This window comes from Homo sapiens, chromosome 9 (assembly GCF_000001405.40).
Source record: "Homo sapiens chromosome 9, GRCh38.p14 Primary Assembly".
NCBI classification, from domain to species: Eukaryota; Metazoa; Chordata; class Mammalia; order Primates; family Hominidae; genus Homo; species Homo sapiens.
This window is the reverse complement of record NC_000009.12, coordinates 129,435,978-129,448,502: the sequence shown is the minus strand read 5'-3', so window position 1 is coordinate 129,448,502 and position 12,525 is coordinate 129,435,978. Positions and strand designations below refer to the sequence as shown.

Here is a 12,525-nt window from a genome sequence, read left to right as displayed (position 1 = left end):
ATGGCTGGGCACGGTGGCTCACGCCTGTAATCCCAGCACTTTGGGATGCTGAGGAGGGCAAATCACCTGAGGTCAGAAGTTCGAGACCAGCCTGACCAATATGGAGAAACTCTGTCTCTACTAAAAATACAAAATTAGCTGAGTGTGGTGGTGCATGCCTGTAATCCCAGCTACTCAGGAGGCTGAGACAGGAGAATAGCTTAAACCCCGGAGGCAAAGTTTGCAGTGAGCTGAGATTGTGCCTTTGCACTCCAGCCTGGGCGACAGAGCGAGACTCCGTCTCAAAAAAAAAAAAAAAAAAAAAAAGCAAAAATTAGCCGGATGTGGTAGCGTGCACCTGTGGTCCCAGCTACTCGGGAGGCTGAGGTAGGAGGATCACCTGAGCCCAGGGAGGTCGAGGCTGCAGTGAGCCATGATTGTGCCGCTGCACTCCAGCCTGGATGACAGAGAGAGACCCTGTCTCAAAATAAAATTAAAAAATAAAATAAAACCAAATATCTATAGCCCACGTACAGGGTGAGAGCTGGAGAGTCTAGTGGTTAGGAACTTTGGAGCAAGATGGCCCTGGGGTCCAGTCTTGGCCCTGCCACTTACTACCTGAGTGGCCTTGGGCAACTCACTTAACCTCTCTGAGCCACAGTGTTCCCAGAAGAGAGTCAGGAGGAGTCCTAAGCTCGGGACTCAGTTCAAAGCTGAGATTTGGCCTTCAATGTGCACATACCTGCAGAAAGCCTGGCCACCCCAGACACTCACTACATCCAGGCTTGGATTTACAGGCTGTGGTGACCTCCCAGGTTCCCTACCCTCAATGAGTTCCTGTGGATTAAGAAGGAACGGGTGGTGCCTTGACATATCAAACTTGTCAGGTGTTACTTCTAGAAAAATAAATGAATTTAAGGGCTTTGAATATTTGAGAATGGAGAGATTTAAAAATGTAAAGGTTTCTTAAGATGGATAGAAGACTTACCAATTGGATTTGTATTCTGTGGAACAGGGAGGCTTGTGTGAGGCCTCTCTCTAGAAAACGCAGCTCTGTTTAAAGGGAAAAGTGCAGGCAGGCTGGCCAACCCACGTGATGGCTCTTGAAGCTTCTCTTTTGAATGGCCTGCTAGGACTTGGGCTCCGGATTCACTGGCTAACGCAAGTCACGTGGCCAAACATGATTTGGTGGGGAGGGGAAGTGTACCCAGCACTGGATGCTCTGCATGTCACGTAGCAATGGGGCAGGATGGATAATCCTCTCACTGAGGGGATGGTGAATAACTGGAAACAGTGACCAATCTGCTGCCGTTCACCATCTTGGTTGCAAATATCACTCCCGTCTCTTGCATGGGCGTGGTGGATTGGAGATGGCTGCAGATTCTTAGTCATTACTCTCAGCAAGACCTGGAGTCTTTTCCTCCTCCCCTTGGATCTGGGCTGACTCCAGGACTGGCTTTCATCAACAGGATGCAGCAGAAGCGACGCTGTGTGACTTCCGAGGCTGAGGCTGCAGAGATTTGAGGCATCTGCTCTCACCCAGCTTGAAGTGCTTCCTCTTGGAAGCCAGCCACCGTGAAAAACCCCGCCATGCTGTGAGGAAGCCCAAGAGAGCTGCATGGAGAGAAGGGCCTGTGGAAGAGCCCTGAGGTGCCACTCACATGAAGTGAACCTTTGTGGACCTTCCAGCCCAGCTACCAGCAAAACGCAAGCAGCGAGTGTCCCCAGTCAACGCTTCTCTCTATAGGAGACCTGTAAATGGGGTGGCGGGGGGAGCAGGAGGAATTTTCTGATCTCACACACTGTTATGAGTTGAATTGTCTCCCCACCCAAATTCATATGTTGAAGCCCCCACCTTCAGTACTTTACAAAGTAATGTATTTGGAGATAATATCTTTTTTTTTTTTTTTTTTTGAGACAGAGTCTCACTCTGTCGTTGCTCAGGCTGGAGTGCGGTGATGCGATCTCAGCTTGCTGCAACCTCTGTTTCCCGGGTTCAAGAGATTCTTGTGCCTCAGCCTCCCGAGTAGCTGGGATGAGAGGCGTGGTGTTGCATGCTAATTTTTTAGCTTGGACTACTATTTTTGTATTTTAGTAGAGACCGGGTTTCACCATGTTGGCCAGGTTGGTCTTGAACTTCTGACCTCAAATGATCTTCAAATTTTTTGTAATTTTTTAGCGTGGGCTAGTTTTTTTGTATTTTTAGTGGAGAGGGGGTTTCACCATGTTGGCCAGGCTGGTCTGGAACTTCTGACCTCAAAGGATCTGCCTTCCTTGGCCTCCCAAAGTGCTGGGATTACAGGCGTGGGCCACTGTGCCTGGCTGGAGATAAAATCTTTAAAGTGGCAATTCAATTAAAATGAAGTCGTCAGGGTGGGCCTTAATCCAATGTGTCTAGTGTCCTTATAAGAAGGAAATGTGGACTCACAGACTGAGGCGTCAGGCAGGTGTGCACAGGCAGGAGGCCACCTGAGGACACAGGCGAGCCAGGGAGGGAGGGCCTTGGAAGAAACCAGCCCTGCTGGCACCTTGATCTTGGACTTCCAGCCCCCAAAGCTGTGAGAAAATACATTTTTATTATTCAAGACACCCAGTATGTGGTATCTCGTTATGGTGGCCCCGGCAAAGTAATACACTCAACATACAATGGTGGAATAGGATGACCCACAAACGCTCTCCGTTGGAAAGGAGAAGAACAAGACTGGGCGCAATGGCTCACGCCTGTAGTCCCAGCACTTTGGGAGGCTGAGGTGGGCGGATCACTTGAGGCCAGGAGTTCAAGACCAGCCTGGACAACATGGCGAAACCCATCTCTACTAAAAATACAAAAATTAGCCAGGCATGGTTGCATGCACCTGTAATCCCAGCTACTTGGGAGGCTGAGGCATGAGAATTGCTTGAACTCAGGAAGTGGAGGCTGCAGTGAGCCAAGATTGCACCACTGCACTCCAGCCTGGGTGATACAGTGAGAGCAAAGAAAAAAGAAAGAAAGAGAGAGAGAGAGAAAAGAGAAAGGAAGGAAGGAAGGAGGAAGGAAGGAAGGAAGGAAGGAAGGAAGGAAGGAAGGAAGGAAGGAAGGAAGGAAGGAAAGAGAAGAGGAGAGAAGAGAAGAGAAGAATAGAGGCGGTGTGGTGGCTCACACCTGTAACCCCAGCATTTGGGGAGGCCAAGGTGCGGGGGTCGCTTGAGCCCAGGAGTTTAAGACCAGCCTGGGCAACATAGCAAGACCCCGTCTCTACAAAACAATACAAAAATTAGCCAGGCATGGTGGTTCATGCCTGTAGTCCCAGCTACTCAGGAGGCTGAGGCAGGAGGATCACCTGAGCTGGGAGGTTGAAGCTGCAATGAACTGTCATCACACCACTGTATTCCAGCCTGGGCGACAGAGCAAAACTCTGTCTTAAAAGTTAAAAAAGGGCCGGGCGTGGTGGTTCACACCTGTAATCCCAGCACTTTGGGAGGCTGAGGCGGGTGGATCACCTGAGGTCAGGAGTTCAAGACCAGCCTGGCCAACATGGTGAAACCCCATCTCTACTAAAAATACAAAAATTAGCTGGGCGTGGTGGTGGGCACCTGTAATCCCAGCTACTCAGGAGGCTGAGGCAGGAGAATCGCTTGAACCCAGGAGGCAGAGGCTGCAGTGAGCCGAGACTGTGCCACTGCCCTCTAGCCTGGGTGACAGAGTGAGACTCCGTGTCAAACAAACAAACAAGCAACAACAACAACAAAAACAAAATTTAAAAAAAAGAAAGGAGAGGGGTGGAGCAGTAGCAAGTGCTGGTCCTCATGAGTTCTGAGTCCTGCTGGGTGGATTCGGCAAGTGCCACCTGCCCTGGGGAAAGAAACCCCTCGACCAGGCCCCATGGTGCTCTCTGGAAATTACTCCCGACTCCCCTGTTCTCCTGCCCTTGGGCCGTCCTCTGGGAGGCCTCCTTTTCTATAACCTCCTTGACCACACGGGATGAGGACCCTGGAGAAGAGGGTTTCCCTGGGGGCTGAGCAGCTTCCTCGGGCTGCTTCCCCGTTGGCGCCCAGAAGTGGTTTTGTGTTGTTGACGGTCACAGTCTCTTTTAATCCAGCTGACAGCTCTGCGGACAGTGCCACCCTCTTTAAAACTTTGTAACTTTTGCCCAATTGTTGTCACTCAGCTCTTTTTGCCAAAGATACACCCAAGGCCGGGTGCGGTGGCTCACGCCTGTAATTCCAGCACTTTGGGAGGCCAAGGTGGAAGGATCACCTGAGGTTGGGAGTTCAGGACCAGCCTGGCCAACATGGAGAAACCCTGTCTCTACTAAAAATACAAAATTAGCCGGGCATGGTGGCGCATGCCTGTAACCCCAGCTACTCGGGAGGCTGAGGCAGGAGAATCACTTGAACCCGGGAGGCGGAGGTTGCCGTGAGCTGAGATCGCACCATTGCACTCCAGCCTGGGCGACAGAGCGAAACTCTGTCTCAAAAAAAAAAAAAAAGACACACCTAACTTTCTTCTAGACATGGCTTTCTAGACAGAACTGTGGGCCTGCAAGCTTTTCTGAGGTTTCAACAAAGGGCGTGATGGCCACACCCTTGGTATGATCTTTACCCTGAGACTGAGTCTTAACTGGGCTCTATCACACAGAGTGTTTCTTAGTTTTATTATTATTATTTTCTTAAGCCCAGAATATTCTTTATTGACTATTTGTAGAGTATCCATTTTAAAGAGTCTTCACAGAAAGTTTAAAATTCATAATTAGCTGGGCATGGTGGCACATGCCTGTGGTCCCAGCTACTCAGGAGGCTGAGGAAGGAGGATTGCTTAAGCCCAGGAGGTCAAGGCTGCAGTGAGCTGGGATCGTCACTGCATTCCAGCCTGGGTGACAGAGTAAGACCCTGTCTCAAAAAAAAAAAAAAAGAAAAGAAAAGAAAAGGAAGAAGAAGAAGAAGAAAGAAAGCTTAAAATTCACAATTAGACTTCTCAAACAATACATTTCTGGGGACAGACAAAGTTAAATTTAAAACTCTTATCTGCTCCAAGATCATATTGTGTGTTCCAAGCACAAATATGTCAGAAATTTTTTCTAAAATGTCATTTGGCACTTGAGTCTTGCAGAAGCGACAAACTGCCAGAGGGGCAGGGACTGTGTCTGTTTTGCCCACTTATTATGCAAAAGAGCAGGATTTTCCAAAAATGGCCCTGGGTGCTCACTCTAGGTTGTCTGGGTGATGAACTGGCAGGATGGGGTGGAGAATTGGATCGCACCTTTTTCCAACTCGGGGATAAGTGGTTCGTGCCCAAGCACAGCTTCCCTGGCCCACCCCAGCCTTCTCCCAGCTGGGGGCACAGCACCCAAGCTCAGCCTCCTGCAGCACAGGTGGCCTCCTGCACGTGACAGTGTCTGGATCCTCCCACGGACTATGGACCTTTGGGCACTGGGCGCCTGGAGCACTCACTTAGTTGCTCTTTCATTGGACCGAGATGAGGAATAGTTGCCTTTTTCAATCCTGCAAATCCAACATTTCTGGATTTTCTCTTTCCCTTTCATTTCTGCTTGCAAGTAGGTTAATTCCCTTAGATCCCATCTCCTGTCTGTAGGGCCCTGTGAAATGCGGCGTATTCGTTTGCTAGGGCTGTGGTCACAAAGTCCTGGGTGGCTGAAACACAGAAACACATTGTTTCACAGTTTGGGAGGCTGGGAATCCAAGATCAAGGTGTCAGCAGGTTGGTTCCTCATGAGCGCCGTAGGGAAGGATCTGTTCCAGGCCTCCCACGTTGGTTTATGGATGGTTGATTTCTCCCCGGGGTCTCCATGTCATCTTCCCTCTGAACATGTCTGGGTCAAATCGCCTCTTTTTTTTTTTTTTTTTTTTTTTTGAGACAGAGTTTCATTCTTGTTGCCCAGGCTGGAGTGCAATGGTGCGATCTCGGCTCACTGCAACCTCCACCTTCTGGGTTCAAGTGATTCTCCTGCTTCAGCCTCCTGAGTGGCTGGAATTACAGGCGCAGGCCACCACGCCCAGCTAATTTTTTTTTTTTTTTGTATTTTTAGTAGAGACGGAGTTTCATCATGTTGACCAGGCTGGTGTCGAACTCCTGACCTCAGGTGATCCACCTGCCTCGGCCTCCCAAAGTGCTGGGATTACAGGCGTGAGCCACTGTGCCCAGCCTTTTTTTTTTTTTTTTTTTGAGACAGGGTCTTACTCTGTCACCCAGGCTGGAGTGCAGTGGCAAAATCATAGCTCACTGCAGCCTCGAACTCCTGAACTCAGGTAATCCTCCCACCTCAGTTTCCCAAGTAGCTAGGACTACAGGTGTAGCTTTTAAAGCTTCTGCTGGCCACTGATGTGTGGTCACTTCTGCTCACATTTCACTGGCCAGAGTAAGTCACATGGCCAAGCCTCGTCAGAGGGCGTGGAAGGACGTTCTGGGGACAGGATGGTATAACCTGCTTAGGAGAAGGAATTGCTGGGCACAACGGCACCATCTATCATCCGGCTGGCACTGGTTAAGGCTTACGTGTGTGGGGCTTTGTGCCAGCAGCTTCACACCCTTAGCTCATTGACTCCTCATGTAGCCCCATTTTATAGGTAAGAAAACTGAGGCTTTGAGAGGGAGAGAGACTTGCTCATCGATCATAAACAAGATTAACTGACAGACTGAGAAAATCCTGAAGGTCTACATGCTTCTCAGGTCTTGCCCCGTTCCATCTTCTTGAGGCCAGGGTGAGAAAATCCTTGGCCTAGGATGTAGCCCACGCGGAACACTCACAAATGGTAGTGGAGTTAAAGATCTGAGTTGAGGCCAGGCGCGGTGGCTCACGCCTGTAATCCCAGCACTTTGGGAGGCCGAGGCAGGTGGATTACCTGAGGTCAGGAGTTCGAGACCAGCCTGGCCAACACGGCAAAACCCTGTCTTAACTAAAAATACAAAAATTAGCCAGGCATGGTGGTGCATGTCTGTAATCCCAGGTACATGGAAAGCTGAGGCAGGAGAATCGCTTGAACCTGGGAGGCGGAGGTTGCGGTGAGTTGAGATCGCGCCAATTGCACTTCAGCCTGGGAGAAACTCCGTCTCAAAAAAAAAAGATCCTAGTTGGGTGTGGGGGCGTCTTGAGCCAGCAATGCAGCTGCACATCCCACCAGGGTGCCGGAAGAGCTTGCTCTGGGGGAGCCCACACCCCACCTTTCAGCTCAGCTCTGCCTCCACCGTGCCTGCAAATCTAGGTGCTCCCCAGAGTGCACAGGGTCAAGGGAGGGCAGGGGTTTACAGAAGTAAATCCAACTCCTCCTGGAGGAAAGGGAGAGAAGGAGCCTTGTGCATCCCAGGACCCTGTGACCCTGTGATCACTCCTTTGCGGCTGAATCTCCCAGGCTCTAAGTGCCTCTGGGGGGTTATGAATTTCTTGTCTGCTTGTTTGTTTCAGCAGGGGTGGGCAGGGGGCAGAAAAACCTTATGTTCTTTTTATTATGCTCCTCATTTTACAGATAGAGAAACTGAGGCCCAGGGAGGTTAAAGCCACTTCCCACAGCAAGGGCTGATGATAGATCCAGGACTCAAGTGCAGCTGGGGCGGGCGCTGGGAGGACTGGGCACTGAGGCCCCAGGTGAGCCTGTATTAAGGAGGCTGAGGGTGGGGCTGGATGGGAAAGTGGTGGTGCGGACGGGGTTGGGGGGTGGGCGCTTCTCCCCCCAGGCCACCCAGGTCTCAGAAGGACAGAGGGGGCAAGACAGTGATTCTTGGAGAGATGGATTTAGTCTAGGGGGTCCCAGATAGTGAGAAAGAGAGAACCAGGCAGGGGCCCGGGCCCACGTGCAAGGGACAGTGTGAGAAGGAAACACACACACACACATCCCACCACAGACTTTTTCTGGTTTTGACACCCAACTCAGAGAAGGTCTTTTTACATTCAGATTTCTGAAAATGTCGTTAGAAACAATAATGACGATGGCAAGCCTTCCCTGAGACCTCACAGCATTTCAGGAAACTCGCTGAAAGGCTTTGCCTGGACTCCCTCATGGAGCCCTCACAGCTGCCCTGTGAGGTGGGTGCCATTACTGTCCTCTTATTATAGATTGGGAAACGGAGGCTCCGAGGTGCCAGAGCTTGCAAACCGATGGAGGTTGGCCAGACTTCATGAGCCACACTCTGAATATTCCCTTTGAGGCACAAACAACAGAATCAAGAAGGAGGCCACGCGCGGAGGCTCACACCTGTCATCCCAGCACTTTGGGAGCCGAGGTGGGTGGATCACTTGAGGCCAGGAGTTTGAGGCCAGCCTGGCCAACATGGCGAAATCCCATCTCTCCTAAAAATACAAAAATTATCTGGCTGTGCTGGTGCACACCTGTAGTCCCAGCTACTTGGGAGGCTGAGGCCGGATAATCGCTTGAACCTGGGAGGTGAAGGGTGCAGTGAGCCGAGATCACACCACTACACATCAGCCTGGGTTAACAAAGCAAGACTCTGTCTCAAAAAAAAAAAAGAAAAAAAAGAAAGAAAGAGAGAGAGAGAGAAAGAAAAAGAGAGAAAGAAAGAAAGAAAGAAAGAAAGAAGGAAAGAAAGAAAGAAAAGAAAGAAAGAAGAAAGAAAGAAAAGGAAAAGAAAAGAAAAGGGAGGGAGGGAGGGAGGGAGGAAGGAAGGAAGGAAGGAAGGAAGGAAGGAAGGAAGGAAGGAAGGAATCAAGAAGGAAAGCCCTGCCTGCCTTGCCACAAAGCTCTAGGCCTCCCACCCTCCTCCCTGCTGAGTCAGGTGCCCACTGTGGACTCGAGGCTTTGGGTTCCGCCAAGATGGCCAGATAGGGACTTCTATGCTGGTTTCCCTGACGCCATTTCCCTCCCAGCCCTGGCTTTCCAGAGCCCTAAACTGCCTTTCCCTATGAAAGGGGATAGAGCTTCCCACAGCCACCCGTGCCTCTCTGTGACTATCAGAACAGGGGCCCCACTGACACCAATAATGATGCCTGCTGTATGAGGCCAGCCTGTTCTCTGCAGCCCTGAGGTCAGAGGACAAAACGAGACACAACCTATGTGCCCATCCTCTGGGGATTGGATAACCACATACAGGTACATGTGCACAATGGAATACTACGCAGCCAGGAAAAATAATGAGGTGCAATAAATTGCCAAACAGGACATATAATATTGACTGGCATTTTTAGGGAAGCGTGGTGGCTTCCACCTGTAATCCCAGCACTTTGGGAGGCCAAGGTGGTAGAACCACTTGCACCCAGGAGTTTGACACCAGCCTGGGCAACATAGTGAGACTCTATATCTAGAAGAAATAAAAAATTCGCCGGGTTTGGTGGCCTGTGCCTGTAGTCCCAGCTGCTCGGGAGGCTGAGGTGGGAGGATGGCTTGAGCTGTGATCATGCAACTGCACTCCAGCCTGGGCAAGAGAGCAAGACCCTATCTCACACAAAAAAAAGTTTCTATAAGTATCTGTATTGACAGAAAAACTCCAACCCTGAATGTGCTAATTACCCTGATTTGACCAATACACATTGTATATGTGTACTAAAATATTACACTGCATCCCATAAATATGTACAATTATTATGTGCCAATTAAAAATAATAATACAAGCCAAAAAATAGGACGCTGCACTAGAGGCTGAGGTTACGTGGATGAATAAGGCACGTGGAAAAAACAACAACAACAACAACAACAACCTCACTTCAGGCAAAAGTAGGAGGCTTCCTCAACACAGCCCGGGGTTCTTTCCTCCGCTCCTGCTGTCTCGCTTCCTCCTTGGCATGGGCGCTACACGGTGTCTCGGCGCCACTCCCCTAAGTTAGGAACAAGCGAATTCCGAGATGAACGGTGCAGTCCTGGCCTCGAGGGGCCCTACGGAGTGGGGCAGGTGGGCACATAAATAAAAAACATCATCACCTGAATGGCGTGAACCCGGGAGGCAGAGCTTGCAGTGAGCCGAGATCGCGCCACTGCACTCCAGCCTGGGCGACAGAGCGAGACTCCGTCTCAAAACAAACAAACAAACAAACAAACCATCATCACAATGACCGGGGGTGGGGGCTTCTCCAAGTGCTTGATGCTCTGCCAAGGAATTCACTGGCATTAACTCGGGGACCCCTGACCATAAGTGAGTTTTCTCATTTTACCAGTGAGGGAACCGAGTCTCAGTTAGTGCCCTGGGGAGCAGATTCCGTCTTGCCCTGGGGGTCTGGGCCTCAACTCCGGAGCCTTTTCCGGGAGAGAATCCTCTAGCCGCTGAGCTAGCGGCTAATCACCCCCCAAAAGCAACAGAGACAAAAGGCAAGGAAAGGGGTTGCACAGAGGGTGGAGGCAGGACAGGTCCCGGTGGCTGAGCCGCCTCCCCCCACCTCGTGCCTAACCACGCACAAGTGGATTTGGTCCTGGAAGCACACACCCCCTCCGGAGGTGCCATGGGCTCCATCTGAAGGTCAGAGAGGGGACAGTGGCCAAGGCCATCTGGAAAGTGCCGCGGCAAGGGTTCAAACCCTGTCGGCCTGATTGCAAAGGCCCTGTCGCCCAGCGTGGGACCCAGCAACCGGCGCTGTCCAGAGACCCCGGTCCTTGGCCCCTGCACAGGCTTGGCACGGAACACGTGCTGGATACGCAGTCAGCCTCCTTCCTTGTCCTCCTTCCGCCATCATGTGACCTTGGTCCCACCGTTCTCTGTTTCCAGGCCTCAGTTTCCCCATCTGCAGAGAGAGGGGGTTGTCCTAGGGGTGCCCTGGCTCCCCTGGAAGCCTCCAGTACCTTAGATTTCCACTGGGGAAGCCAGGAAGGGCAGGTAGGGCCCCCTGGGGCTGGAGCAAATTTGGGGTTCAGGGCTGTTTTCTGGGGTGAAAGCTTGGAGCCCGAGGAGAGCCCCGCGGACGGCCCCAAATTCCCCAAGCCAGCAGCCCCGCTTAACCTTCCCCCCTCTGCCACCCAGAGCCCCGCTGGACCAGACTCGGGCCCCCACCCCGGAATCGCCCGACACCCCTGACTCTGGCGGGGGGAGGCCCCCACCGGGCCGGCCGGAGCCCCCAGCGCCTTGAAAAGCCTCTGGCCTCCCCCTCCCCGCCAACGCCCGACCCGCGAGCTGCGCAGGGAACGAGGGGGAGCGCCGGCGAGCGCGCAGCGAGAGTGGGGGAGAAATGCAAATGCGTTTTATCCTCCTTTCTTTTAAATGCTGAAACCAGCCTTGACAGCCTCTGAAAATAAATGGCACCGACTCGCTGGGATTTCAAATTCCGTGATTAAGGGCTGAAGCAAATACTTTTTCCCTCCCTCCCCCGCCGCCCTCCCTCCGTGGGCTGATAGAGCGGCGGCGGGCCGGGGACAGCTTTTTGCGAGCCTGCCAGGAGCTCTGATACGCAGCCTCCCGCCCGGCTGCGCGGCGGCTCGGCTCCGGGCTGTTTATCACGAGCGCTCACGCCGGCAGCCGCGAAAGCAGCTTTAAATCCCCTGCCCGGCCTCGGCGCCCCCTCCTCCCGCCGGCACGCACGCCGCGGTCAGGCACGCGCGCGCGCGCACACACACACACACTCACACGCACAACATAAGGCACACGCATGCACGTGTGCACCTAACGCACACCGCACGATGCACACACGCACGCGTGCACACACCCTCAGAAAAACATGCATGTTATGGGAGCACGCATACGTGTGCACACTGGCACATATGCACACACGTGAACACCCGGCCCTGGTGAGCGTCTGCCTGTTCTCCAATGAAAGGAGGAAGCCAGGGAAGGCTGCAAAGTTGGGGGGATGAGAGGAAGGAGAGGAGGGGGCCAGGAAGAGAGAGGCTTTTCTGGGTTCACAGTTTGCAGGGGCTGCCTGAAGGCAGCCTAGCGTGGGGGGCGGCTCTGAGGCACCCGCCAGCTGTGTCCTCCCTCGTTCCTCCCCACAGGGCTCAGTGCACTCCTCACACCCACTACAGTGACTCCGAGCTGCCTCAGTCTCCCTCCTTCCTTTCCGGCTCAGTACTCTGCGGGGAGCGGGGGGCGGGGTCGGGGTGGAAACACAGCTCCGAGTTATTATGCCTTTTTAGGGCTTGGATTCCCCATCTGGGAGACCTCCAGGCAAGACGCCCCGCCCCTCCTTGAACCTCACCTGTGAGGAGCCCACTCAACCAGGGTCACGCAGCTAGAAAGAGGGACGGTCAGGATCCTCGCTCTGAGGGGTTTGGGGGGAAGGAGTAGGACCCAACAACCTTCCTCTGATTCTGAAAGAACCACCTCTGCTCAGACAACCCTCTGAGTGTCCCCTCTCTCCCCCATGCTGGGCTCCCTCTGCTGTCTAGCGGCAGCTGACAGATGGGTGATAACAGGTACACCCAAGTACCTGCTAGAGGTGGCTCCACTCCCCGGACAGTCAAGCTCAACTCATGGAGCTCCGACAGCGGGCGAGAGGTGAGGAAGCAAGGCCTCGCGGTGCCTGCTGGCCGCGTTACACAAACTGCCCAGCAAAGGGGAAGGTGGGCAACGTCTGGAGAGGCACGGATGGAGACCTTCAGACACACACGTCGAGGTTCAGCAGCGCTGGGGCAGGGGGGCGGGGGTGAGGGGACATGGGCCATAGGAATGCCGTGGTCTCC

General features: G+C 52.8%; 1 long non-coding RNA gene across 1 annotated transcript, besides 2 other annotated features; it reads right to left on the bottom strand.

Annotated features, from left to right (window-relative positions):
* Positions 1-951: 951 nt before the first annotated feature.
* On the bottom strand, positions 952-11,357 carry LOC105376291 (uncharacterized). Its single transcript, NR_188645.1, has 3 exons — positions 9,844-11,357; positions 9,624-9,740; positions 952-1,731 (listed from the first exon to the last, which is right to left on the bottom strand). It is a non-coding gene; the product is annotated as an uncharacterized LOC105376291 (long non-coding RNA).
* Positions 10,969-11,613: an enhancer, noted in NCBI's record as "H3K4me1 hESC enhancer chr9:132199169-132199813 (GRCh37/hg19 assembly coordinates)". NCBI's record gives its function as "activates a minimal SCP1, AML or CMV promoter by ChIP-STARR-seq in naive H9 embryonic stem cells {active_cell/tissue: H9 hESC(naive)}" and the evidence as "EXISTENCE:reporter gene assay evidence [ECO:0000049][PMID:30033119]".
* Positions 11,614-12,258: an enhancer, noted in NCBI's record as "H3K4me1 hESC enhancer chr9:132198524-132199168 (GRCh37/hg19 assembly coordinates)". NCBI's record gives its function as "activates a minimal SCP1, AML or CMV promoter by ChIP-STARR-seq in naive H9 embryonic stem cells {active_cell/tissue: H9 hESC(naive)}" and the evidence as "EXISTENCE:reporter gene assay evidence [ECO:0000049][PMID:30033119]".